Raw genomic sequence first — 26,628 nt, 5'->3', positions numbered from 1 at the left:
GAAACGTGGTTTTCCATCCTTGTCTTTGAGAGGCAGTGTGATGTTGGGAAAGAATGTGGACCTGGAGCCAAGCCACTTAGGTTCTGGTAGAAATGCAACAAGCTCACATATGCAAAGGACCCAGTGCAGGGCCCAGCACATGGCAGATGCTGGACAGTGGAGGCCGTTACCTGGAATGTTAGTCCTGATTCTGCTGCTGAGTGACCTCAGGCAAGTCAACCAACCTCTCAGAGTCTCGATTTTCTGGAAAATAGGAACAATAACACATCCCCAGCCTCCCTCCCAGGGGAGTTAGTTCTCCCAGGGACTCTACAGGCCTTCATAGAGCAGATGACACTTGAGAACTGAGATGAGCTCGCTACAAGTTCAAGGTAAAGGTGGGAGTTCCTAGGCTGGGCACGGTGGCTCATGCCTGTAATTTCAACATTTTGGGAGGCAGAGGCAGGCGGATCACTTGAGGTCAGGAGTTCAAGACCAGCCTGGCCAGGCCGGGCACGGTGGCTCATGCCTGTAATGCAAGCACTTTGGGAGACCAAGGTGGGCGGATCACCTGAGGTCGGGAGTTCGAGACCAGCCTGACCAACATGGAGAAACCCCATCTCTACTAAAAAAAATACAAAATTAGCCAGGTGTGGTGGCACATGCCTGTAATCCCAGCTACTAGGAAGGCTGAGGCAGGAGAATGGCTTGAACCTGGGAGGCAGAGGTTGCAGTGAGCTGAGAAAAAAAAAAAAAAAAAAGCAGCCTGGCCAACATGGTAAAACCCTATCTCTACCAAAAATATGAAAAATTAGCCAGGCAGGCGTGGTGGCGGGTGCCTGTAATCTCAGCTACTTGGGAGGCTGAAGCAGGAGAATCACTTGAACCTGGGAGGTGGAGGTTGCAGTGAGCTGAGATTGTGCCACTGCACTCCAGCCTGGTGTCTCAGAAAAAAAAAAAAAAAGATGGGAGTTCCAGGTTGAGGGAGCCACAAGGCAACAGTGATTCAAGGAGGAAACTATGGGATGGAGAAAGAAGGCCCTTTGTGGTAGCCACTAAAAACAAAGCCCTGAAGCTCCTATGTGCGCACTGCCAACCCTCGTGCCCCTCTTTGTCATCTAAGGACTGCGGTCCCAAGGGGAACCAACACTTCCTGAGCCCCTCCTGCCTGCCTGGCATGCAGCATAGCTTTTCAATCCTCCCACAGTCCTGGTGGGGTATCTATTATTCCTACACAATAACTTCACTTGCCTCAAAGTCACACAGGTGGAGTGTGGAGAAGCTGCAGTTAAACCCCTACCTACGGGCTTCCTGGTCTGTGGCCATCTTCCTGTGTGTCACAGGCCTGAACTTCCTCAGTCTTTCAGACCCTCCTCAGCTCCAGAGAGCTCTCCTCACTGCTATCTCGCACCCAGCCTCTGCGGCCAGAATCCTGCTCCCCTGGAAGGACTCCTAGCAAGGCAATGTCCCTGCCAAGACTCAGGAGCAGGACTTCACCTAGCTCCTGGAACACGCAGAACAGGTGTTTGTAAGACCTCTACACTCATGTGCAAACCGTGTGTGTGTGTGTGCGCGCGCGTGCACGCGCACATGTGTCTGCACTTTTCGATTTTTTTTTTTTTTTGAGACGGAGTTTTGCTCTTGTTGCCCAGGTTGGAATGCAGTGGTGTGATCTTGGCTCACCGCAACCTCTGCCTCCTGGGTTCAAGCAATTCTCCTACCTCAGCCTCCCGAGTAGCTGGGATTACAGGCATGTGCCACCATGCCTGCCTAATTTCGTATTTTTAGTAGAGACGGGGTTTCTCCATGTTGGTCAGGCTGATCCTGAACTCCCGACCTCAGGTGATCCACCCGCCTCGGCCTCCCAAAGTGCTGGGATTACAGGCATGAGCCACTGCGCCTGGCCTGTGTCTGCACTTTTCTGATACGCAGCCTCTAGTCCTCACCAGATTTTCTAGGAAGGCCGTGTCCCAGAATGGTTAGGAACCCCCAGGCCCCACATTCTCTGCAGGCTCAGTTATTGTTCCTCCACCCTGACACTGTGGGCAGGCCCTGGGAAGTGCAGGTGAGAAACAGGCTTGGCCCCTGCTGACTCCAGGCCCTGCAGCAGGAGGGCAGCGGAGGAAGCCTACAACTCCTTAGGCTTCAGGAATCTCTAGCCACCTCCGGACAGGCTCCACGCCCCTGTGCAGGCTGTTTCTTTCTACCGCATCCTATGTGGAGCTGGGTCTAGGCAGCAAGAGGCTGGGGAAGGCTGGCAGGTCCAGCACACTGGGACTGCAATGAAGGGGCAGGTTGGGTTTGGGCTTCTGGAGGCATCCGGGCGGGGTGTGCTGTCAGAGGAGCAGCTGGCCCTGGGCTGTGGGCACTGACAGAGCAGACAAGATCTGCCCTTCCCCCTTGGGTCTGGGCAGATGAGGAGTGAGTGACAGCAGCAGGTCCAAGCCAAGTGGCCTCTTCAGCCACCACGGAGGCCCCGGAAATACCGAGGCTGGGAGTGGCCATGGGGGGACAGAGGCCAAACCGCCTGTCACTTGGGTCTCTGCCAGGCCATCCTTCAAGCCCTGGACACACTGCCTGTCCCTCCCGGGCACCCTTCTCTGCCATCAGACCCCTGCCTTTCCCCCAGCCAGGCCCTGAGCTTCTTTTCCTATAGGCTCCAACACCATACTCAGAAAGACCTTGTATGTTTTTCGAATTAATGCAATTAAGAGCATTAAAGTTTGAGAACGATAGAGTTTTTCATTTTCCTTTTATTTGATTAGAGAAATTCCCACCGCACAGTTCCTCCAAATGAAACCCAGACCCGAGGCCCATTATTCTGGGGGCTTCCATGAGAATGTGTTACCTTTCAATCTCACACACTAATGTGTTTAGCGTTACAGTCCCCCCCAGGCGGCTGCAGGAAGGATCTGGAGGCTTGATTAAAGCGGCCTTTGCCGGGCAGGAATGTGGGCTTCTCCGCCTGGGAGTCACAGAGGGGCTGGATGTTTGCTCGGCAGAGCCTCTACTCAGATGGCCGACTGGGGACTGGGCTCAATGGCCATCGTGCCTGGGTGTAATCAGGCCTTTGTCCTGCTCGCTTGTCTTTCGACTGGGCCTCCTGCACCTCCTGCTGAGCCCCAGCACAGTCACGTGTCTAAAACACAATCCCAACCTCCCCCCAACACACACACACACACACACACACACACACACACACACACACCTCTCTTTTCTTTCCTCTCCTATCATCCTCCTCCCTATTCTTTTTCTCCTCTCTTCTTCCCATCTTCTGGTCTCCCAGTGGTCGCTTGGGCTTCGCGGCAGCCTCCCTTTGGCCAGTTCTGTTCAGAGGCAGGATTCAAGAAATCAGACTGCTCCTCCCTCGGTCAGGCCCAATGCTCCAAGGTAAAGGGCAGAGTTAGAGCCAGAAGTTAAAAATTGATTAGAGGAGTATGTAAGGAAGGCCTGGGAGAGGGAGGAGGGGGGTCATAACCCCTGTTAAAAAATTCGGCTAATGCCAAATTTAAACAGGATGTTAAGTCTACGCCCCTCCCACCCCAAATCACCAAAGGCTCAGCACGGGGAGGCCCAGGTTCCTTCCTCTTCCAACTGGGGCAGCTGGTCCAGGCCCCAGGGTGTCCAATGCCCTGGGACAGGAAGCTGGTGGGACTTCCCTGCCCCAAGGCTTGAGTCCTGCAGACCTTTCACAGCCCAAGCCAGGGTCCTAGGAGACACCACTAGGACCTGGCCCAAATTAGGCAAAACGGAAAAACAATCCGGCTTGCGAACTAGAATCCAAACTAAAAATAAGCCTGTCAACTCTCAGAGGCAGCTCTGCTACTCCTGGGTCCCATGGAATTGGGGAGAGCCTGGGAGAGAAATGAGATACATTCTCACCCCCGACTCCAAATCTGCCTTGACCCTGGGGCATTCCCAGATGCCTTAGAGTCATTCCACAAACATCCAGGGAGGCCCACACCTTGCAGAGCCCAGACAGTATTGTAGGGGCTTTAGAGAGGAGTGTTCTCCTCTAGGGGAGTTAAAGACATGGGCAGATGGCCGGGCGCAGTGGCTCACGCCTGTAATTCCTGCACTTTGGGAGGCCATGGCAGTTGGATTACCTGAGGTCAGGAGTTCAAGACCAGCCTGGCCAACATGGTGAAACCCTGTCTCTACTAAAAATACAAAAATTAGCCAGGCATGGTGATGCGCGCCTATAGTCCCAGCTACTCAGGGGGCTGAGGCAGGAGAATAGCTTGAACCCGGGAGGTGGAGGCTGCAGTGAGCCAAGATCATGCCATTGCACTCCAGCCTGGGTGACAGAGCAAGACTCTGTCTTAAAAAAAAAAAAAAAAAAAAAAGTGGGCAGCTTATGACTTCAGGTTGTCCCTTGTGATAACATTCTCAAAGGGCGATGAGTCCTCCCCCAAACCCCAACCTGGATCAGCAGGGACCAACCCACACTTGGAGACAGAAGACTTACCTGGCCCCTTCGCACTAAGGAAGGGGCCTAACCCAGACTGAGCCTCCACCTGCAATCCCCCTTCCAGTCTTCTGCTGAGCTGCGCATCTGGTTGTTCTTGGGTATAAATCCCAAGCAATCACATGCACAGATTTACTTTTTAAAAAGCTTACCCTAGGCCAGGTGCCATGATCCACACATGTAATCCCAACACTTTGGGAGGCTGAGGAAGGAGGATGGCTTGAGACTAGGCATTCAAGACCAGTCTAGACAACAGAGAGATCTCATCTCTACAAAAAATCTAGAAATTAGTCAGACATAGTGGCGCATGCCTGTGGTCCCAGCTGCTCGGGAGGATGACGTGGGAGGATCGCTTGAGCCCAGGTGGTTGAGGCTACAGTAAGCCGTGATCACCCCACTGAATTCCAGCCTGGGGAACACAGTGAGATCCGTCTGAAAAAAAAAAAAAAAGGCTGCCCTATAGGGAAGCTTGGAGATACAAGAGTGGAGGCAGGAAGACCAATGTCTACCTGAGTCAAGGAGGATAAAGGCTGAATTAAAGCTATGATGGAGGGGCAGGGATAAGTGGGAGGGAGAGAGGAATGACTCAGCCAGGTCCTGAACCAGATCTCCTCCTCCTACCTGGGTTGCTGCCTCATTTACTCTTCTCAGTGTCAAGGGAGATAAATAACATCACCACATGGGCTGGGCAAGCGGGGGGACTGATTTGCAAGGCTAAGAGAGGGGAATTCACTGTCCTTTTGTTCATTCAGACACTCAGGCAACACTTGGCCGATTAGATAAATCCACCTACACCTTTAAGCTGTACCTCCCCACGCAGGGCCTAGAAGGTCTAACCCTTGAATCAGTCCCAGGGTTCTGCCGCAAACATCTGCCAGGGCCAAGAGCCCCCAGGGAGCAAATACATAATGTGAACTGCATTTGGATGAAGAAGCAGTTAGAGAAGGCAGCATGAGGGAATCTGGAGCACAGTGGAAACTGCTCAGGAATTTGGCTTCATGTCTAAGTTGATTCTTCCTAGACAATCACCTGAACATGGGTATCTCCAGGTTACCCATGCTGCAGGGAAGACTGGGAAGGGGGCTGATGATGCCAAAGGTGAATAATCCAGAGACTATTTCTGATTATCCCTATTGGACTTTACCAGTTGGCTTTTTTTCCGCCTCTGCTGGGAAATTTGCTTCCCTAAGCAAGAATTTCTTTGACTATTTTTCAAAATTTACTCATGATTTCCAACCACGAGCAATACTTCCCCCAAGATGATCAGGCTTGGCTTTATCCTGAGCTCCATTCAAACCACACAGACAGAAAGCGGAGACAAAGAACCATGCAGGGCCACACAGAAGCCAGTGCCCATGCCCTGGGGTCCTCTGTGGCACCAGGAAAGGGCGGGGAAGACACAGTTAGTTCTCTAGCCCGTGCACATTGCTCCCTCCCCATTTAGCCCACAGTCCAAAAGGCACTGCAGCAAAGATTCATCTCTGAGTTTCAATTTTCATGGAAATGAACCATTTTATCTCAGAACACAGGGGGAAAGAATGAATTCCCTTTTTTTTTTTTTTTTTTTTTTTTTGAGATGGAATCTTGTTTTGTCACCCAGGCTGGAGTGCAGTAGCACTATCTCGGCTCACTGCAGCCTCTGCCTCCTGGATTCAAGCAATTCTCCTGCCTCAGCCTCCCCAGAAGCTGGGATTACAGGCGAGTGCCACCATGCCCAGCTAATTTTTGTACTTTTAGTAGAGATGGGGTTTCACCATGTTGGCCAGGCTGGTCTCAAACTCCTGACCTAGTGATCCGCCCTCCTCAACCTCCCAAAGTGCTGGGATTACAGGCGTGAGCCTCCGCGCCCAGCCGGAATTCTCTTTCCTTGACACAGATAGACTAAATCCCCCTTCACTTTCTTGCTTAAAAAAAAAAAATCCAAAAGCTGCTGCCATTTGCTGCGTTGGATGCTGGCTGATCATTCTGAAAGGCAGGCAAATAAATCCAGAGGCCAGGCCAGGCTCCTTCCCTGGTCCTAGTGGAGCTTCCACAGCCATCTCTTGGGTTTGGCAGGGGCTCAGGAAGGATGGGAGGAGGGCCGGGGAGCAACCTGACTTAGGAAAGCAATGGCCTTGAGAAGGAGGCCTGTAACTCTGAACCAAGAGCCCAAGTGTCCTCAGGAGGAGTTTCACAAAATACTGTCTGTCTAGCTGGTTGCCCAAGTCCCAGCCCAGGCCTGATGTGCTCCACTTCAACCCACAGGAGCCAGAAGCTTTGTCAGCCATGTGCCTTCTGCCTAGTGCTCCATGGCAACCCTGGTGCTGGCTCCTACTGGCTCTTACTCTGTGCCAGGCTGCATTCCCTCACTAAAGATCCTTAGAGTGGGTACTAATATTAGCCCCAGTTTACAGATTATGGAACCGAGGCTCTGAGAGTTTAGATCATCTCTCTTAGGTCACACAGCTAATTAGAGGCAGACCAGGATTTGAACCCATGTCTCTGATTCTGAGCGTCTGCTCTTCATTTCTAAGCTAGCCCATGTTTGACTGGGGTTCTGGTCCACCTTGCCAGCCTGTTCTGCCCTGTTCCTTAGACGGACGTTGCAGTTCAGCTCCATAAATGAGCCCCCTAATTTCCTCCTGGGCTGCCTCCTCTACCTGACATGCCCCTCAGCCTCACCTGCAACTATGTCATTCTACCCTGCTTCTGCGTGCCAAAAAAGACATCTCCCTCTTCTGGGCTCCTGTGGCATTTTGTTTATCTTAGTGGTTTTCAAAGTGTGTCCCTGGACCAGCAACATCAGCATCAGATCCCACCTCAGATCGGCTGCATCAGAAACTCTTGGCATGGGGTCCAACAATCTGGTTTGAACAAGCCCTCCAGGTGATCCTGATGCATGCTCAAGCTTGAGAACCACTGGGCTACCTCTTGTTTCTCCAGACCCCAACAAGTCTAGGTGACCATTAAGGGTAAGGTTAGCTCTTGTTGTGGTCTTTGACACCTGAGCCCAAGTCATCAGGTCTTTTATAAAGGAACCCTGAGTGACTAATAATGAAGTGGGTAAAGCTTTTTTTGGCCTCTGCTGCTGCTTTCCATTCCATTACCTGGCATCCTCTTCTGGAACAGCTGACAAAAGTAATCATTGCCATATGGACACTATCACCATGCCCTTCAGAACTGGTTCAATGCCTTCAACCATTGCTTCCTCACCCCAAGTGGGGCCTGAGGCTCTCCATAAAAATCACCTGAGACCATCAGTGTCTCAGCCTCAAAGAATCTTTCCAGTCTTTGTCATTAACTGCCTGCCTGACTCCCTCCTGGCCTCTTCCCTGAAGTGTCTTAACACAGCCCACAGCCCACAGCCCACAGCCCAGCCTTGGCCTAGGGAATGGCCTCCCAAACCCATATGTCCTGAAGGTGAAATCAGACTTCACCCTTACTGATGGAATCTCCAACTTTGATCATGGTATTTTCTGTTTCTTCCTTTAATTCTGTCAATTTTTGTTTCATGTCTTTGAAGCAGTGTTAATAGTTGCATACATGGTTATGATCGTTTTCCCTTCCTGATGAATTGACCCTTTCACCATAACAAAATGTCCTTCTTTTTCTCTGGTAATACCCTTTGTCTCAAAGTCTATTTTATCTGATATTAATGCAGCCCCACCAGCTTTTGAATGTATATAATTTTTCATCCATTTATTCTCATCTTACTTGTGTCTTTATATTTAAAATTCATCTCTTGTAGACTGCAAATAGGTCTTTTTTTAAAAAAAAAAAATCTTTTCCAACAATCTCTGCCTTTCAATTGGAATGTTTATCCTGTTAACATTTAATGTAATTATTAATATGGTTGAATTTCATTTTATTTCCCCCCTCTGTTTTTTATTTCTCTGTTCCTCCTTCCTGCCTTTTTTTTTTTTTTGGATTTTTTTTAGAATGCCATTTATTTTTTATTTTATTTTATTTTTTTCATTTTTTTTTTTTTGAGATGGAGTCTCAGTCTTGTTGCCCAGGCTGGAGTGAAATGGCGCAATCTCTCGGCTCTCCCATGTTCAAGCAATTCTCCTGCCTCAGCCTCCTGAGGAGCTGGAATTACAGGCGCACACCACCAGGCCCAGCTAATTTTTGTATTTTTAGTACAGATGGGGTTTCACCATGTTTAGCAGGCTGGTCTTGAACTGCTGACCTCAGGTGATCCACTCACCTCGGCCCCCTAAAGTGCTAGGATTACAGGCATGAGCCACTGCGCCCAGCCTGAATGCCATTTAAATCTATCTATTGGATTTGTAATTATACCTCTTTATATTAATTTTGAAATGGTTGCCCCAGGGATTACAACATATCGTTAAATTTTCACAGTCCACTTAGTTACTATTTCAAGTAAAATGTAGAAACCATTGCCCGCTACCCCCATCCTTTATGCTATAGTTATCATATGTATTACATCTACATACATTATAAAACCCATAAGACAATGTTATATTTTTTGCTTTAAATTATCATGTGAATTCTAGAGCAATTAAGAGGGCTCACTGCCAAAGGGAACCTCAAAATTAGAGGAGGCCTTTCTCAGGAATCTGATTTCGCTCATCAGTAGGAAAGGAAACCTGGATCTTTCAATGTTCTTTCACTTAATTCTAGCTGAAGGTGAGTTCTGGGGCCACAGATCAGAGCCACAGCTGATTCATCTTTATCTCGCCTTTGAGAGTCTTCATTAAGTCTCCTGGGCCCCGATCATCCTACCCAAAGTCCTTTACACTGTTTCCCACTGGTCCTTGGTGGTCAGACATGATGACCCAGAGTGACTATGCAGATTAAGACTCATCAGTATCCTGTCTTCCTCTCCTTCTCTCATAAGAGGCACTTTTGCTGATCTTTTTATGAGTTGTGTTTTTTTTTTCCTCACCTCTCCTCCTAGGTTATCTAGTTCCTGAAGGTAAGGAATCTGGTCTTATGCATAGTAGGTACTCAGACAACTTTACTGAAAGAGCAAATGAACCCTAAATGCATTTTCTGGCCCTTCTAAGGGCAGTCATGCACAGAAGGCAAAGTGTACAGGGAAGAGAAGGAGGCACATGGGTATCTGCCTCAGGAGTGACGGGAAATCATTTCCAGGGGCAGGAGGTATAGCCAAAAACATCACCGCGGATTGATGGCGGGATTGCAGAGAGCCTGGAGTTGACTGTGATGAAATGTACATGTGGGCGTTGAGAATGTGAAGGCTGCAAAACGGGGGAGGCTACCAGCCCAGGATGTGTGGGTGGAACCAGGATTTTCAGCATGCTTGTGTGTACCTGGAGGAAGTATGTCCTGGGCCACCCAGAGCTGCTGACACTGCAGCCTGGAGGGCTGAGGCTTTTTAGAGAAACCATTAGTCTGGTGACAGGGAGAAGAAGGAGAAAGTGGCCAGGGCCAGGGTAGGCACAGGGCTGGTTTGCAGGGCTGTGGGCCTCACCATAAGGGAGGCAAGTGGAGGGCATTCATCTGGGTGCTTGTGGGAGACATAGAGAGTCGGGGTTCAAGGGAGTGGAACTGAGACTGATCAGAAAAGGTCCTTCGTTCTGGAACAAAGGGTCCCAAGAGTGTCCTTTGACCTAAGCCTCAGGAGGAAGAAGGTTGTCTTGGCACAACAGGGTCTCCCCGGGGTCAGGATAAAGGAGGAGCCCATGACTGGGAAGAGGTGAAACTGGGAGTGTCTCTGAGTCATGCCCTCAGCCTGTGCCAAGCTAATTGAATGACATGAGACTTGCAATACCTAATTTCATACGAAATATGATAATGGAGTAATGGGCCAGATTTTTGCATGTGGCTTGTAGAAAAGCTGAGAAGGAGGAGAGATGGAGCAGGAACAAGCCGCAGCACGTTTCAGCTCATGAGAGCCAGTTAGCCAGTCTGCTGGGCACTGCCAGCTGCGGTGAATGAAGTGCCTGTTGTTTCAAGGCAGGGGAAAATGGGTGACCGTTATTTTTAGTGAGGAATTCATATCCAACATGGTGTAAGGTTAAACAAATCTACAAGCGAGACTCGACCTGTTATAATAATCTTAAGTGGTTTTGGCCCACAGCAGGAGGGAGAGGCAAAGGTACAGCTGCTTGTGAGACCTACTGTGTGCCCATCCCCACAGCAGGCTGCCTACTAGGAGGGTGCCACGCTCAGGCTTTGTGGGAGCTGGAACATGGACATTGTGAGAGTTTGGGGTTGCTGGAATTTTCCTATTTTATAACACAGACTAGCTAGCTCTTTAATGTATTAAACTTCTTCCCAACACTATATGGTCAGCACAATTTTGCAAAAAGACGGTGTTAGGCCTTCCATGAGGTTTCTGGGTATTCAAGCCAAGAACAGTGTGAACCCCTCCCCGCAACCCCTTTCCCATAAGGAAATGCCTGAGTATTTGAAAATGCTCTTTTACTTCCAATCCAGTCTAACTGCAGCTTCCCTTACATTCAAGGTGACTGCCATTGTGGTTAAGGGCCTGGACAAACTGGATCTTTGCAGAATTTAAAGCGGATTCAAACAACTCCTGAAGGCCACCAGCCTCCGTCAGGAAGCCTCCTCCAGTGTGGGAGTGTGGAGGCCACTGCTTCAGACTGATCTCTTGGCTCAGGGACAGATGTGGTGAGCTCTTTCTTGGCTGGAGCAGCTGATCCAATTCTGTAAGGTGGCCCTGCTTCTCTGCCCAATACGGGAGACAGCAGGGCTTATTCCTAGTCTTTATAAAGTGGGCTGCTCATCACTATGGGGAATTCTGAATGCAGCAAGGGTGGTCAGGATCAGCTGGACAGGAGTCCTTTCTGGACTCCACCATGAATGGTTCTGCCTGGACACTTGGAAGTTTAGGCAGATCCATCCTGCTTGAGGTTCTTCAGGGTCATCTTTACAACAAAGAAATTACTAAATTCCTGGTAAATAGCCAAATCACAGAAAAAATCAACTACAACTTTATCAAACGACTAAAGTAAGCATTTTGCTTAATTACAGATGTGCAGCATGGTTGTCTTTCTGGTTCTCATGGCCCATCCCTGCTCCTCCAGGCAGGGGTGGGTGAGCCTGCGTTCTGACCTGGACTCAATCGCCTCTCCATGTTGTCAGTTTGTTTTCTTCATCTGCCCATGTTGCCAGGGACCTAGAGACCCTATTTCTATCTCTTCAATACATGGTGGTTATACTGCAATGCCTGGCTTTGCAATTGGCAGCGGCTCATGAGGGCTTTTCTGCTGCCAACTCTGCGTGCTTCTGACCCCCGTCCCTCATCGCGTCACCCTCTGCTGGTTTGTCCCTCTGGCCTTGCTCCCCGGAGGTGCTACATCCAACCTCTCTCAGCGTCCCTCTCAAGGCTCCCTCCTGCAGGTCCACACTGTCTATGGCCCTCAGCTGTGAGGGCTCTGGAGGCTGGGTCATTGCTGCACAAAGCCACTTTATGACAGAGAGCCCTTCAGCCAAGCATGGAGGTCAAGGCTAACAGTTGGCATTTTGACACCTGCATGCTTATTTTTTGTTTTCCACTACACATCAGTCCTGCAATCACAATTATATACCTCAAATGTTTTCTAATTAGTCTATTGGCACACAAAAAATTCCTTCAGTATAGCATTATTGCGGTGACCGTCACGATCATCCCAAGCCATTAATTCATAAGTATCATCATTAGTAGTTTAATAGTTAACCAAATAGTAATATATTTTGTTTAATAATTAAAATAATTAATAGTGATTTATTATTAAATTATTACCATCGGTCTGTGCCTCTGCCCAACTCCATGAGGGCTTTACCTGGCCCTTGCAGGTGGCACCTGTGACAACAGGTCACACAGTGGAACTCTGACCGCAAGGGTGGCCAGGAACCTTTTGTCCCTTGTTTGGTGCTGAATGTTCATATTGCGCCCCAGCACCCACCACTTCCTGTGCCTCCTCCCCATGGCTCTCTTCATGTCATGACTGTGTGACCATCACAAGCTCCCGCACATGCACGTCACACAGGTCTAGGTGAGTGCGTGACCCCTGAAAAACAAAGAGGATAAAACTCAATGTTTCTGAAGGCTTGTTAGTGGGAAAACTCCCTATCTGCAGTGTGTATGAGGTCGATCATCTAGGTTAGATCTAGATGACCCATCTAGATGACCCATCTTACGTTAGCACACTCACCTAACGTTTCTGTGTGCAGGACTGTGAGGAAAAGGGGACAGGGACAGGCCTTTGGAAAGTACAAAGTGCTGGCTTTGATACTCACATCCCCGCTGTGAGGCACTCAGGGTGGATACCATCCCCCATTTCACAGATGGAAACTGAGGCCTCGAGAGATGTCATGACTTGCCTCTAGCCCCACAGCTGGTGGGACCAGGAAGAAAATCTGGGTCTTCTGTCCCTCCAGCCAGAGGTTTCCTATAGTTTGTTTACTGAAATGGAAGATAACACTAACCTGTTTCTTTTTTCTTTTTCTTTTTCTTTTTTTTTTTTTGAGATGGAGTCTCTCTCTGTTGCCTAGGCCGGAGTACAGTGGCACGATCTCGGCTCACCGCAACCTCCACCTCTCGGGCTCAAGCGATTCTCCTGCCTCAGCCCCCCAAGTAGCTAGGATTACAGCCACCCACCACCACGTTCGGCTAATTTTTGTATTATTAGTAGAGATGGGGTTTCACCATGTTAGCCAGGCTCATCCTGAACTCTTGACCTCAGGTGATCTGCCTGCCTTGGCCCTCCAAAGTGCTGGAATTACAGGCATGAGCCACTGCGCCTTGCCTTGCCTTCTTTTCTTCCTTTCATTTCTTTCTTCCTTTTTTTTTCTTTTGGTCCCTGGTTTCTGGGGAGATATAACTAGCTCCCAGTTGCTGTGAGGAGTGGGAGAGGCAAAAATCACACCGGCTAAGTGGGCTTGGGGCACTGAAAAAAGAACTCCTTTGCTTTCCAGAGGCTTCTAATAGGAGCGGGGGCAGGGCTCACATGGGACTAGAAGAGCGGGTGGAATCACTTGCAAAACGCTAATAAATCTGCAGGCCCAGCTGTTCCTCGTCCGATGATCCTGAAGGGAAAGTGTGAAATAGTAGAGATGCTGATGGGTCTGGGGGGCCCCTTCAAAGGCAACCCAGTTTTCCCAAGGTCCCTGGAGCTGGGGTGGGAAGTATCCGGAAACGTCTGAAGGGTGTTTGTTAGCATTGGGAGGCCTGGGCCCCTAGAGACCACGTGCACACATGGAGTGTGCCTGGGAACGCCCCAGGCTTGGAAGTTCTGGAGGGGTGGGCAAGTCCCATTTCCCAGAGCGAGAGAACAGGGCTGGCAGTTCGGCAGACCTGAGTTTCCCTAGCTGCTCCAGCACTGAGCGGCTGTGTGGGCTTCAGTGAGGTCTTTAACCTCTCTGAGCTTCCTGCCTGTCACTTATAAAGGGAAGATCATAACCCGCCCTGTGGGGTTGCTTGAGGATTAAATGTGCTAACGCATAGAAAGCCCTGGCACATGCTAGGTGCTCAATGTTCTTTCCCTGTCCTCATTCCCCTTCCCCTGCCCCGAATCAAGAAGGGCCTGGATAGGAAGTTCTTGTTAATATAGTGGTGAGTATTCCCACCTGTCATGCGGGAGACGGGGTTCAATTCCCTGATGGGGAGGCTGTTGATGATGCTTTGGCTGGGCGTGGCGGCTCACGCCTCTAATCTCAGCACTTTGGGAGGCCGAGGCAGGCGGATCACTTGAGGTCAAGAGTTCAAGACCAGCCTGACCAACATGGTGAAACCCCATCTCTGGTAAAAATTCGAAATTAGCTGGGTGTGGTGGTGCACACCTGTAGTCTCAGCTACTACTTGGGAGGCTGAGGGAGGAGAATAGCTTGAATCTGGGAGGCGGAGGTTGCAGTGAGCCAAGATCGCGCCATTGTACTCTAACCTGGGCAACAAGAGCGAAACTCCATATCAAAAAAAAAAAAAAGGTGGTGAGGGGAGCTTGGTCATGCTGACCCCTGAGGCCAAGTCCAGGGAGGAGGAGGGGCAGCCCCCAGCATATACAGTTATGTACAGACAGACGAGGTTCCCATCCTTGGTCTCTCCAGCCAAGAGCCCTGTGGGAGCAGGCCACAAGGAGAGTGCAGAGTGGCTTTGACCACTCTCAGCAGACAGGGTCTATGAACCTAGGGGCTGAATCCTGCTTGAACTAGAGGCTTCCGAGGCAAAGGGCACCCTCTCTGTAGCCAAGGTCTCTGGCCTGAGTTGAAAAGCTCTTAATTGGGTTCTAACTTCTCAATTCCCCAGAGCAGAGCCATCAATCCTCCCAGCAGGCAGGCCAGCCACAAGCCCAGCCTCAGAGAGCAGGCACAGGCCAGCCCAGGGGGATCTGGAGGCTACGGGCCAGCTGCAAGATCCCAAGGGTTGGGAGCATCCCAGGCTATTAGAGCTCGCAGCGGATAGAGCCAAGCCAGGCTTCTGTGCCTGGGTGCATGAAAACTCTGTGTTCTCCAAGGCCTAGAACCTGCTCTGGGCTGGAATCCGATCGTGCTGGGTCTAAGACTCAGCTGCCCCTTTCACCAGATGGGGAACCCTCAGGCAAGCCACATGAGCCTTCTGAGCGAGGATTCCCATTCTTTTTTTTTTGTTTTTTTTTTTGAGATAGTCTTGCTCTGTCGCCCAGGCTGGAGTGCGATGTCACAATCTCAGCTCGCTGCAACCTCCACCTCCTGGGTTCAAGCCACTCTCCTGCCTCAGCCTCCCAACTAGCTGGGACTACAGGCACATGCCACCACGCCCAGCTAATTTGGTATTTTTAATGGAGATGGGGCTCCACCATGTTGGCCAGGCTGGTCTCGAACTCCTGGCCTCAAGTGATCCGCCCGCCTCTGCCTCCCAAAGTGCTGGGATTACAGGCATGAGCCGCCGTACCCAACGCCCCATCCTTAAAATAGTAACACTCCCTGGAAGGGTGGCGAGGATTGCTGAGATCCACCTCAGGGGCCCCATGGATGTTAACGTCTGCACCCACGTATGTTAATTCCCTCTTGCATTTCTTTTCCACTTTTTCTTTCTTTGATTTTTCTCTCTTCTTGTTTCTTGGGCCTTTTTCAGCTCCAACTCTCTTCTTGGCACTTTCTTCAGTTCCTTAGGCTAGTTGCTTTTCTCCTTTCCACACACGGCACAAGTAGGGAAGCTGGAGAAAAATCTTCACATCTTAAACCATGGGACCCTGGACTCACAGGCCTGGCTGGCCCTGGGTCAGCTTTAGCCTTCCAGCTCCTGAGCAGATCATGATACTGCCTTCAGCACCTCCTTCCCTTCTCCTTCCTTCTAGAGATTCTACCTGGCCAAGAACAGGAAAGAAGTCAGGAGAGAGCAGGCTGAGATGCGGAGCAGAGGTGGTGCTCCTCTCAAAACACAGACCAGGCCGGGGGCAGTGACTCACACCTATAATCCCAGCACTTTGGGAGGTCGAGGTGGGCAGATCACAAGGTCAGGAGTTCAAGACCAGCCTGACCAATATGGTGAAACCCCGTCTCTACTAAAAACATAAAAATTAGCCAGGCATAGTGGCGTTCACCTGTAGTCCCAGCTACTTCAGAGGCTGAGGCAGGAGAATCACTTGAACCTGGGAGGCAGAGGTTGCAGTGAGCCGAGATCACGCCATTGCACTCCAGCCTGGGTGACAGAGCAAGACTCCATCTCAAAAAAAAAACATAGACCAGGGGAGGCTGCAGGAAGTGAACATGACCCCCTTGGGTGGCCGAATAATAGGGGGAAGAAGTCAGTCCATCTCTTCCCCTCCCCACATCACCGCCTGCTGCACCCCAAGCCCAGAAGAAAGTCCTTCCTCATGCCTAACTTGCACCCCTTCTGCTGCAAGTCCCGCTTACTTCCTTTTGGTCCATGTGGATGATGCTATCTCATCATCCCTCCACTGGTGCCTCAAAAGGCCTTCTCCTCAATCTCGTTCAGCTAGAAGCCCCAGGGGAGTGAAAACGAACTTTAAGAGGATGTTTAAAGTTTGGCTTCTCATCACCACATCTCAGCTGAGTCCATAAAACCGCCTTATAAAGCCCACTGGCCAGCCAGCTGCCCTCAGCCTCAGGGGCCTCCTGGTTTTATGATTGGCCCCAATTCAGACACCAGCTGGATGTAGGAACTCACTGGCTTTTATGAAGAGATGTTAACAAGAAGCATCTCTTCCCCTCTGCCTTGTTCCCAGAGCCTCCACTCCATCCCTCATTCACGTGTTCCTTCAGTCGATAAACATTTACCAAGGGCCTCCTCCAGCCAGGTTCTGGTGTAGGCCCTGGGGTGGGGGTGGGCACAGGTAAGGGCTGGGGGTGGTGCTTTCTTCCTTGGAAGGGCTGGCCCTGCAGGAATCAGCACCTGGGTGGCACCTCTGCAGTAGCTGGATCACACTGAGTTGTCAAGTTTGTAAATTGCACAGTAATTGTGAAACAGTGTTGGAAAAACAAACAATTACCAAGCAGCCTGATAAGAGCTGCCAGGAAGTGTGAGCCCAGAAGCCTGGAGCAGGAGACTCCAGCTGTGTTGGGGATCAGGGGTATTTCCCCAGAAGAGGTGCCCTTGCAGCGGGTGCCTGAAGAATGCTTAAAAATGTTCAGAGCAGGCAGGTTGGGGCAGGTGGAAGGCCTGGTGGAAGCCCTGGGCTCTCCTTTGCTAATGGACAGGAGGGAGAGATGGGTAGTTGGGGGCTGAGATGGGAGCAACACAGGGTCAAGTTTCTCCAGGGTGCTCAGTCTATCTTTAAAATGGATATAGTGTTGGTCAGTTAAAAGAAAACCCAGAAATTTATTTTTATTTTTGAGACATAGTCTCGCTCTATCCCCCAGGCTGGAGTGCAGTGGCACGATCTTGACTCACTGCAACCTCCGACTCCCAGGTTCAAGTGATTCTCCTGCCTCCCAAGTAGGTGGGATTACAGGCACACGCCACCACACCTGGCTATTTTTTGTATTCTTGGTAGAGATGGGGTTTTACCGTGTTTGCCAGGGTGGTCTTGAATTGCTGACCTCAAGTGATCCGCCTACCTCGGCCTCCCAAAGTGCTGGGACTACAGGCATGAGCCACTGCACCTGGCCCCCAGAAATATTTAATGACAATACCTGGCACATGTTGATAGACTTTTACCAGGTCCAACTACTTTCCTATGCATCATTTCCCTTGATTTCTGCAATAATCCTGTGAGATAGGCAGGACAGGTATTTTAACCCCCATTTTACAGTTGATGAAACTGAGTCTCAGACAAGTACAAAGACTTGTAGCTGGAGAAACAGCCAGCAAGTGGCAAATGGGGAGCTCTTATTCTCAAGTCCCTGCTCTTTCCCCTGGGGATAGCTTAGAGCTGCTTAGGGAAGTTCTGAGGGTTACAGAGATCCGTGGGGAGGGAGAGGCAAGGGAAGCAAAAGTGTCCCCTCTCGGCAGCATCTGTCATGGTGGCCAAACTCTCCCCCTCTCAGTTTGCCACCTAATGGGGAGGGAGGACTCAAGCAGGTAAGAGGACATGGACATGGACTCAAGCAGGTAAGAGGATGTCTTGGATCCTCTGGAGCAGGGGAAGAAGGAGGACTCCCTGAAGGGCAGATTCTGGAGAAGGAGGGGACTGGGAAGAATCACACTTACAGGAGATTGACAAAAAGAGGGGCTGCAGGCTTGGCATGGTGGCTCACACCTGTAATCCCAGCACTTTGGAAGGTCAGGGTGGGTGGATCACCTGAGGTCACAAGTTCAAGACCAGCCTGGCCAACATGGTGAAACCCCGTCTCTACTAATAATACAAAAATTAGCCAGGCGTGGTGGTGCTGGTGCTCACCTGTAATCCCAGCCACTCGGGAGGCTGAGGCAGGAGAATTGCTTGAACCCGGGGGGCAGAGGTTGCAGTGAACCGAGATCGTCCCATTGCACTCCACTCCAGCTTGGGTGAGAAAGCAAGACTCCATCTCAAAACAAACAAACAAACAACAACAACAAAAAAAACGAGAGGCCGCAGACTTGGAGGGAGAGGAGCTTGGGCAAAAAAACAGACTGAGGGTCAGTCATGAGCCCACAGGGCAGCCACTGTCCTCAGGTGGGGGTGCTGGGGGACTGAAGGCCTCCTTCCAGCTTGCTCCAGGTGGGAAGGTAGCCTTGCCACCCCCTGCCCCACTTTCCCGTTCCTCATTTGTAAGTGAAGCCCCAAGGACTAAGGAAAGAAGCAGACTACTTGATGCACCTCTATAGTGGGGCATTCAGAACCGAGGGGTGGTGGGAACAGGCCTCACACACAAGAATCCTTAGTCATGCAGTGTCACCTCGTTCAGACACTGCATGCAGATCTAGCCAACAGCAGATGCGTCTCATGCCTGCTCTCCCAGGCTCCAACACACACACCCCAAAGACACTCTATATACACCCAAACTCACACAACCAAACCCCTACTCCCCCCCACACAGGAGCCCACAGGCTCGCACACACATGTGAACAGTGCACACCGTGATTCACAGCTTACAAACTGCTTGTACTCACAAGCACAACATCCCCAGATTCACAAACAAATCCGTATTCACTTGCACACTGAGGTAGATGAATATGCGTGGAAATAATGCTCACACACACAGCCCAGGGGCCTTAGATAAGGGACCCAGAGAGCTCTGGAGTTGGGGAGTGGAGGTACTCAGCAAGGGTCCCCAGCCTGGCTTTCTTCAAGCCTGTCATTCTCTTCTCCGCCCCTCCACTCTCTCTCACCTCCAGCAGATAAGAGTTGACCAGATTGTGACCAGGTTCCCAATCCTATCTCAAGTCCCCATCAGAGGGCTTGGGACACACCAGGGACTCTGTTAATAGTGGCCTCCCCTCCCCCTACCATTCTACAGAGAGCCTGGGGCCTGAAAGTGTGGGGTCAAGAATGGCTGCCTCATCCTAAGGCCACTTGAGGGGGGTGGAAGTGTCACAGGAGCAGGAAACACTCCCACCAGGCCTCCCTCCCCAGGCCTAGGACTCCCAGGCTTCCCTCTGTGAAGCATAGGGCCTGGGAGGGCTGCTGAGGGAGGCGGCAGTACCCACGATGCAGAAGAGGTGGTATCTCCCGGCCAGCAGCCTCTGTCTACATCCCTTCACTCCACACGCACACACTTGCGCGCACACTTCCCCCACTGTAATTAGAATGGTTGCTCCAGCACCCGGGGAATGGCTGTGATTTATGAATGGGAGTTGGTGTAGAGAGATTCCGGCACCATCTGCTTGGGAGCAAACAGGAAGAACTTCAATGTGCTGCAGACCTGGGGGAGGGGGCCAGTTGGTGTAACAGGCTCATAAATGTAGTTCCTAATGGCCACAGGTGCTCCCCCACACCCCCATCCCCCAACCCCATTGGAGATCTACATCCCTGGAAATAGTTACAGCCTCTGCCAGGGTCCCGTGGCACATGCTCCCCAGCCAAGGCCAGGCTGCCTGGAGGTGGAGCACTGGGGGAAACAGCATGGAGTGTCCAGACCACCTGAGTGCAAATACCTACAGCTGCTTACAACTGGGCTTCAGTGTGTTCATCTACAAAACAGGATGATGGCAATAAAGAGCTGCAATGTATCACACATCTACCCTGTGCGTGATAGGGTACATCATCTTAGCTCCATCTCACAGATAAGCACCTTGATGCTGTGAAGGTTAGACTGTCCCAAATCTGCAGTAGTGAGCTGCAGGGCCAGGACCTGAAGTGGAGTCAGTGGAGGCCACTGCTCTGAACCATTTGTTTTCTGCACACAGCTCTTCATCATGGGGAAGTTGTAGAGATCAAATAAGATAAATACTCCAAGTTCTGGACATGATAGGTGCTCAGCATGCATTAGGTTTCTTCTTTCTAGATATCTAGCTCTAGAAACTGGAAGATTTAAAGACAGATTGAGAAAGAGAAAGAGATAGGGGGAGAGCCTCAAAGCACACTGAGGTTTCTTATTACTGTGATTAGCACTCATGCCTTGAACGATAGCCAGTCCTGAGATGCTTACAGTAAAATCTAACGTCACCTACAAAAACTGACCTTCACCTTTTAATGCCATGCCCAATTGTTATTGTGCTTTGCAGTGATTGGTTTTGGGTTGTGAGGAGGGCTCATAAGTGACTGTCATTTGCATACCCAGCATATGGCAGTGAGTTCAGCTTTTCTTTTACTACTTTGTTAGCCCCACAGCCAAGGCGGGTAGATCACGAGGTCAAGAGATCGAGACCATCCTGGCCAACATGGTGAAACCCTGTCTCTACTAAACATACAAAAATTAGCTGGGCGTGGTGGCCCGCACCTGTATTCCCAGCTACTCGGGAGGCTGAGGCAGCAGAATCGCTGAGGCAGCAGAACACTGTATTTCCCCAAATCATGGTTCTTGACCAGAAGATTCAGAACCACCAGAAGTTTCTACAAATTCAGAGGTCCTGACCCTTCCTCGCCCCCCTCATCTATCATATCAGAATCCCTGGGTGTTGCCTCTGTAATTTTGAAAGTTTCTCCAAGAGGCTTCATGGTATTCCCACTCCCCTCAACCTGCCCCTGGATCCACTGGTCTTCAATTTGCAGATCCTAGCCCTGGAGATCCAAGAATCAATTCGAATCCACCAACACTATGTTCAGAATGTGAGCTCCTTCCCAAAGGACCATGTCTTATTTGTACCCATGGCCCCTTCAGAGGCACTGACTTCAAGAATGAAGTCTTGTAGATACCATCACATAGAGGATGATGGTTAGTATCTCCAACCCCCAACTCCCCTTCATTAAAAAAATGAAGTCTTGGCTGGGCACGGTGGCTCACACCTGTAATCCCAGCACTTTGGGAGGCCGAGGCGGGCGGATCATGAGGTCAAGAGATTGAGACCATCCTGGCTAATATGGTGAAGCCCTGTCTCTACTAAAAATACAAAAATTAGCTGGATGTGGTGGCCCACGCCTGTAGTCCCAGCTAGTCGAGAGGCTGAGGCAGGAGAATCGCTTGAACCTGGGTGGCGGAGGTTGCAGTGAGCCGAGATCATGCCACTGCACTCCAGCCTGGGTGACAGAGCAAGACTCAGTCTCAAAAAAAAAAAAAAAAAAAAAAAAAAAAGAAGTCTTATAGAAAACACAGACTCTTAGCAACCAACTTTAAGATGGGTGAAAACAAATGCCAAATGGAAGGACCAAGAATCTAGCCAGCAAAGTAATTGACGTGGAGAAGGGAAGATCAGAAAGAAGGTGAGGCTCCCTTGATTGGGCCTTGAAGGCTGAGCAAGATTTTGATAGCAGGTGAAGGGAATCAGGTATTGCAGACGGGGTTCCAGATGCCATCAGGCCTCAGCCCATGCCTTAATATTCTTGAGGCTTTTATTGGCTTAATTTTCCATGTGCAAAATGAAGGGTAGAAAAGCTCCACATGTCCCAGGGAGATGGGGTAGGGGTGGAGGAGCCCAGCCTGCTGGGCCCAAAGTAGATGGTGTGGCTTGGCCCAGAGCAGCCCACACTTTCACTAACCCAAGCTGCGGTCAAGGCCTCTTTGTCCTGTGTCCATGGCCCATTTCTCAGAATACACTGGGGCCACAATACACAGAAGCCACAATCCACCCATGGGAATTCTGCCCAGTGATCTCTGGAGGAGAGAAGCAAATATTGGGGCTGTGGATACTCAAGGGTTAAATGGAGTCTTTCAGACTCAAAGAACAATGAAGGTCAAGAAGAGAGTGATCAGACGAGCTTGCTGGAGGTGGCACCTGGCCAGGCCGGACAGTCAGCATTCTTCCACCTCTCTCTGCCACCCAGTCCATGACTCTTCCTCTCCCACTCAAAACCAGACCTCCAGGTTCCCACCATCCAGCCACACACCCCTCACCCAACCTGGCTGGGATCACCCATCCACCCAGAGGTCACTCAACGTCTTTTGAGGACTTGGGCGCCTGGCTCAGGGTCTTCTTCTGTCTCCCACCTCCTGCTGTCAGTCTGGGGGACCTGAATGTCCACATGGACTTCCCAACACCCTCACCCTTGGCTCTCCTATCTCCCCTTCCCCAACGACCTTCTCTCCATTTCTGCCACCCACATATCACCTGAAACGTCTCCTGTGAAATCTTAAACTCCAGCACCCCCATCTTGGGCCACAACTTTTTCCTTCCTTTCCATAAAACCTGGTCTCCACTCGCAGAGATTCTCCAATTCTCCCGTTCTGTCTCACTCGTTCGAGCACCGGTGCTGCAGTGCCGGCTTTGGACAAGGCCTTCCGCCAGCGCATCTGCTCCTTCCTGGCTCTACTTTCTCCTCTCTTGACCTGCCTGTGATTGGCCACATCATTCATTTTCCCGACACCCTTGATTCCCACACCCCCTCACCCTGCCTTTCCCAGCCCTGGAGGACTCCAGTCATCTGCTTTGTCCATTGCAATTCCCAGGCTACTAGAAGGCATAGGAAAACCACTCAACCGTGCAAACTAGTGCCACTCCAGATTTATGGTCCCTGACTTCAGCCTGGCCCTTCAGCTCCTGGGCTGCTGGTGATCAGCTCCTGTTCTGAAACTTACCACCCTTTCAGGCTTCCGGCCTGTCCCCTCCGTCATGTGTAATTGACAGAGAAAATAGAGATTCTCAGAACTCCCTCAACTACCCTCTCCTCCTCTTCTTTGCTAACCACAGACCCAACCCCACCTCTTCCCAAGACCTAGTTTTCACTCACAGACCACCCAGCCCTGGTGCAACTTGCTCCTCCCTTAGCTGCTGCAGCACCACCCTCTCTTCTGGACCTTCTCTTATTTTCCATCATCCCTTCCCTCTCTCTCCCCTGCTTCTCCTCTGTCCACTGCCTCTATGTTGTGGTTCCTAGAGCTCCAATTCTTGTCTTGCCCTGCTCCTGCACCCCTGATATTCTCATCTAAACCCATGGCTTCTTGCTCTAGTAATTCTGATATCTGTGGCTCATGTCCAAGCTCCACATCCTGGTGAACTTGGATGTTCACCTGTGTATCCCTAGGCACCACCAAAGCAGCATGTCCCCAACTAGTCCTCTTAGCTCTTGCCTCAAACCTCCACCTCCGCAGTCTCTGGATGTTGAGTTAGAGCATCACCTTCCACCCAGCCGGCCAGCCAGAGACCTGGGAGTTGCCTCAGCTCCGTCCTGACCCCTCCCAACACCCCACACAACATCCTATGTATTCTGTCTCAGACATGGTTCCCAAATGCACCCTCTCTCTTCCGCCACACTGCTATGTTTCTTTCCTGCTGCATCATCTTTTGCAATAACCTCTAGTTGCTCCTTGCTTCTGACTATCTCTCACTTTTGTATTTAAGCCAAATTTCCTTCGATGGCCCACAGAGGCCTTCACATTCCAACACATCCAACCTCTCTCTGCTCACCTTCCCTGCCTCTCTCCCTGCCAGCCCCTAATCCAGCTGCCTCCTGGACAAGCTAGAACTGCTCTTAACCCCATGATCATCCATCTGCTGAACCCTCTGGATGGGATAACCTCTCTCCCGCTTCCTTGACTGGGAAACTATTCTTCCTCCAAGATCCACCTTCCCAGACACCCCAGCCCCTCAGGCAGAATTAACTGTGCTCTTCATTCTGTTTCTCTGTACTCAGTTTATCCAATCTACAGCTGTTGGATATTCACTGGTTCCAGTCTGGGGCCTTCATGAATAATGCCTGCCACGAACATTCTTGTACACGATTCACCTCTGGAGTACACATGTCTGAATTGACTGCTTAGATGCTGACCGGCTGCTTCTGAAGAGATATTTGAGAACTCCTGGTCCAGATCTTCACCAGCCCTTCGTTTTATCAGACTTTTACATTTTTGCTAATCTGGAGGGTATGTAGTAGAATCTTCTTGGGATTTTAATTTGCATTTCTTTGATTCCTGATAAGGTCACACACCTCATATATTTATAGCCATTTGGATTTTTCCATATTTATGCATTTGATCCAGTTTTTCCATTGAGTTGCCAATCTTCATACTCATTTGTGGGAGTTCTTTACACATTCTGGAGCTGAGCCCTTTGTCAGTTGCATGTGTTGCAAAACCTTTTCCTGCTCTGTGGCTTCCCTTTTACTCTCTTCATGTTGTCTTCTGAAGAACACAGCTTCTTCATTTTAATGCACCCACATTTGTCAATCTTTTTCTTTATGGTTAGTGTTATTTTTGTGTGTTGTTTAAGAAATCTTTCCCTACCCTGAGGTCACGGAGATTTTTTTTACATTGTCTTATAAAGGCTTTCTTGTTTTGCTTTTCAGATTTAGGTCCTTGCTCCACCTGCAACCCCACGGCACTTGGTACTTATTTCTGTAGCACTGCTAACTCCATCTGTTTATATGTCTGCCTCCTCCACTAAACAAAGACCTCCTTTAGGGCAAACTACAAATCTGTGTTTTAAATCTTTGTATTCAGAGGTCCTAACACAGTGCCCGGCACACAGTAGGCACTTTATCAATGCCCTTGAGTGCCTGGATTGCAGAACCGAGGTACAGCTGCTTCCAAACAGGAAGGCCCTCTCTTCTCAGGAGTCCCACTTTTGCTGACTCTTGCCCTCCCATCAAAAAGCACATGTGTATACTGAGTTCATGTGTGCTGAATGTATGGCACAAGTGTGTACTGAGTGCCTACTGTGTGTGGGTGCTGGGCACAGTTTTAGTGATGCAGAGCCAAAGATGGCGAAGTCTCAGCCTGTACAGTACTCATCACCTGGCACCTGCTTTCCTGACGCAGTTCAGAAACCCCCACACTGATCTGGAAAGCAGAGAGTCCTGGGTGCAAATCCCAGCTCTGCCTCCTGTCATCTGCACCACTCTGGGCAAGTCAATTCAGTATACTGGGTTTCAGCTTTCTACTTTGTCAAAAGGGAAAACAACAGATAACTTTGTGGGTTGTGGTGAGGACAGAGTGGAAGAATAAACATGAAATGCCAAGCGGGTGCTGGAGGCATGGTAAATGTCTAAAGATTGTTGAGTTGAGTAAATGATGGAATGGATGAGTCAGTGAATGAACTGGTTGGGAGGGGGGATGGGCAAGGAGAGCTAGAATTGGGAGGGGCAGTAGGCAGGAGGCAGGGGCTGCTGGGTTCTCCTGCAGGCCTTCCTTGTCATAGTAACTGCTGTCAGCAAATGTTTCCCAGACAGGAATCCCCTTCAGGGCTCCCTTCCCCAACCCACTGCATTTGTTGACTCAAAACCTCCCCACTGCCAATTTAGCCTGCAGTAAGGAAGCGGGGTGGGGAGGGGGAGAGAGGTGTAGGAGGGAGTAAAGCTGTGCAGAAAGGGGTCTTTGTCTGAGCACTGTGTGGCATTTCAGATTTCGGTGGAGGGGTTTTTGTTGCTTTTTTTTTTTTAACCTCCTAAAGAGTTGAGTGGGCTGCACTTGCAATAAGAGGTATCAGAATGAGACAGCAGGGAGGACTTCCAGTGGGCTCTCTGTATTGGACGGTGGAACAATGGAATGGACTGCCAAGGGCCTGGGGAGTCTCTCTGAGGCTTAGACACAGATGCAGGTGCGCTGTTCCCATGGAGGAACTCTGAGGGTCTCAGCCCTGTGCTCCCTCCACAGCTCCTCTCCTTGCTGAGGTGAGAGGTTCCATGTCCAGGAAGCTGTTTTTTTTTGTGTTTTTTTGTTTGTTTGTTTTTTGTTTTAAGGAACAGGGTCTCACTATGTTATCCAAGCTAGTCGTGAATTCCCGGGCTCAAGCGATCAGCCTCCTGAGCAGCTGGGACTACAGGCATGTGCCACGACACCCAGCTCCCAAGAAGCTGTTCTGAACCCAGTAGCCACTGGGCCATCCTGCTGCAAAGCTTAACTGGGGCCTCTTGCCACGTGCTGTTCTCTGGTTCCAGCTCCCTCTCCTGGGGCTCCTGTTGGGGCAGCCCTGGATCCTGGAGGGTTCACAGCTGGACCCAGGCTTTCCCCTGACCCCGCAGAGCCCTTCCACGCAGCCCTACTTCAGGCCTGCCCCATCAGCCTGCCCACCACCCCTGACTCACGTCAAGGAGAGGAGCCGACAGGCCCAGCCTCCCGCCACCCAACCCCAGGCCCTGAGCGTCAGGCCTGTGCCTTCTCCTCCCCGACACCCTCCCTCCACCTTTAGGTGGCTTCGTGCCTCCTCCACGCATGTGCGTGCCTGTGTTTATGGGCTTCTCTCGGGCTGCCCTGTGCCCTCATGTCTGTCTGTGTCTGTGTTTCTGTCCCTGCCTCTCTCTCCCCACGCTGCCTCACTCCTTTCTGTCCTCTCTGTCTGCCTTCCTTTTTGTCTTCTGGTCTGTGTGTCTCTCTCGGAC

General features: G+C 50.5%; 3 annotated features.

The window, feature by feature from the left end:
• Positions 1,041-2,002: an enhancer, noted in NCBI's record as "H3K27ac-H3K4me1 hESC enhancer chr3:184378120-184379081 (GRCh37/hg19 assembly coordinates)". NCBI's record gives its function as "activates a minimal SCP1, AML or CMV promoter by ChIP-STARR-seq in primed H9 embryonic stem cells {active_cell/tissue: H9 hESC(primed)}" and the evidence as "EXISTENCE:reporter gene assay evidence [ECO:0000049][PMID:30033119]".
• Positions 2,003-2,965: an enhancer, noted in NCBI's record as "NANOG-H3K27ac-H3K4me1 hESC enhancer chr3:184377157-184378119 (GRCh37/hg19 assembly coordinates)". NCBI's record gives its function as "activates a minimal SCP1, AML or CMV promoter by ChIP-STARR-seq in primed H9 embryonic stem cells {active_cell/tissue: H9 hESC(primed)}" and the evidence as "EXISTENCE:reporter gene assay evidence [ECO:0000049][PMID:30033119]".
• Positions 4,924-4,983: an enhancer, noted in NCBI's record as "active region_20912". NCBI's record gives its function as "activates an Ori minimal core promoter by ATAC-STARR-seq in GM12878 lymphoblastoid cells {active_cell/tissue: GM12878}" and the evidence as "EXISTENCE:reporter gene assay evidence [ECO:0000049][PMID:35858748]".

The sequence above is a fragment of the Homo sapiens genome, chromosome 3, assembly GCF_000001405.40.
Source record: "Homo sapiens chromosome 3, GRCh38.p14 Primary Assembly".
In the NCBI taxonomy this organism is placed as follows: domain Eukaryota; kingdom Metazoa; phylum Chordata; class Mammalia; order Primates; family Hominidae; genus Homo; species Homo sapiens.
Note: the sequence above shows the minus strand (reverse complement) of the source record. Positions and strands in the feature narration are given on the sequence as shown.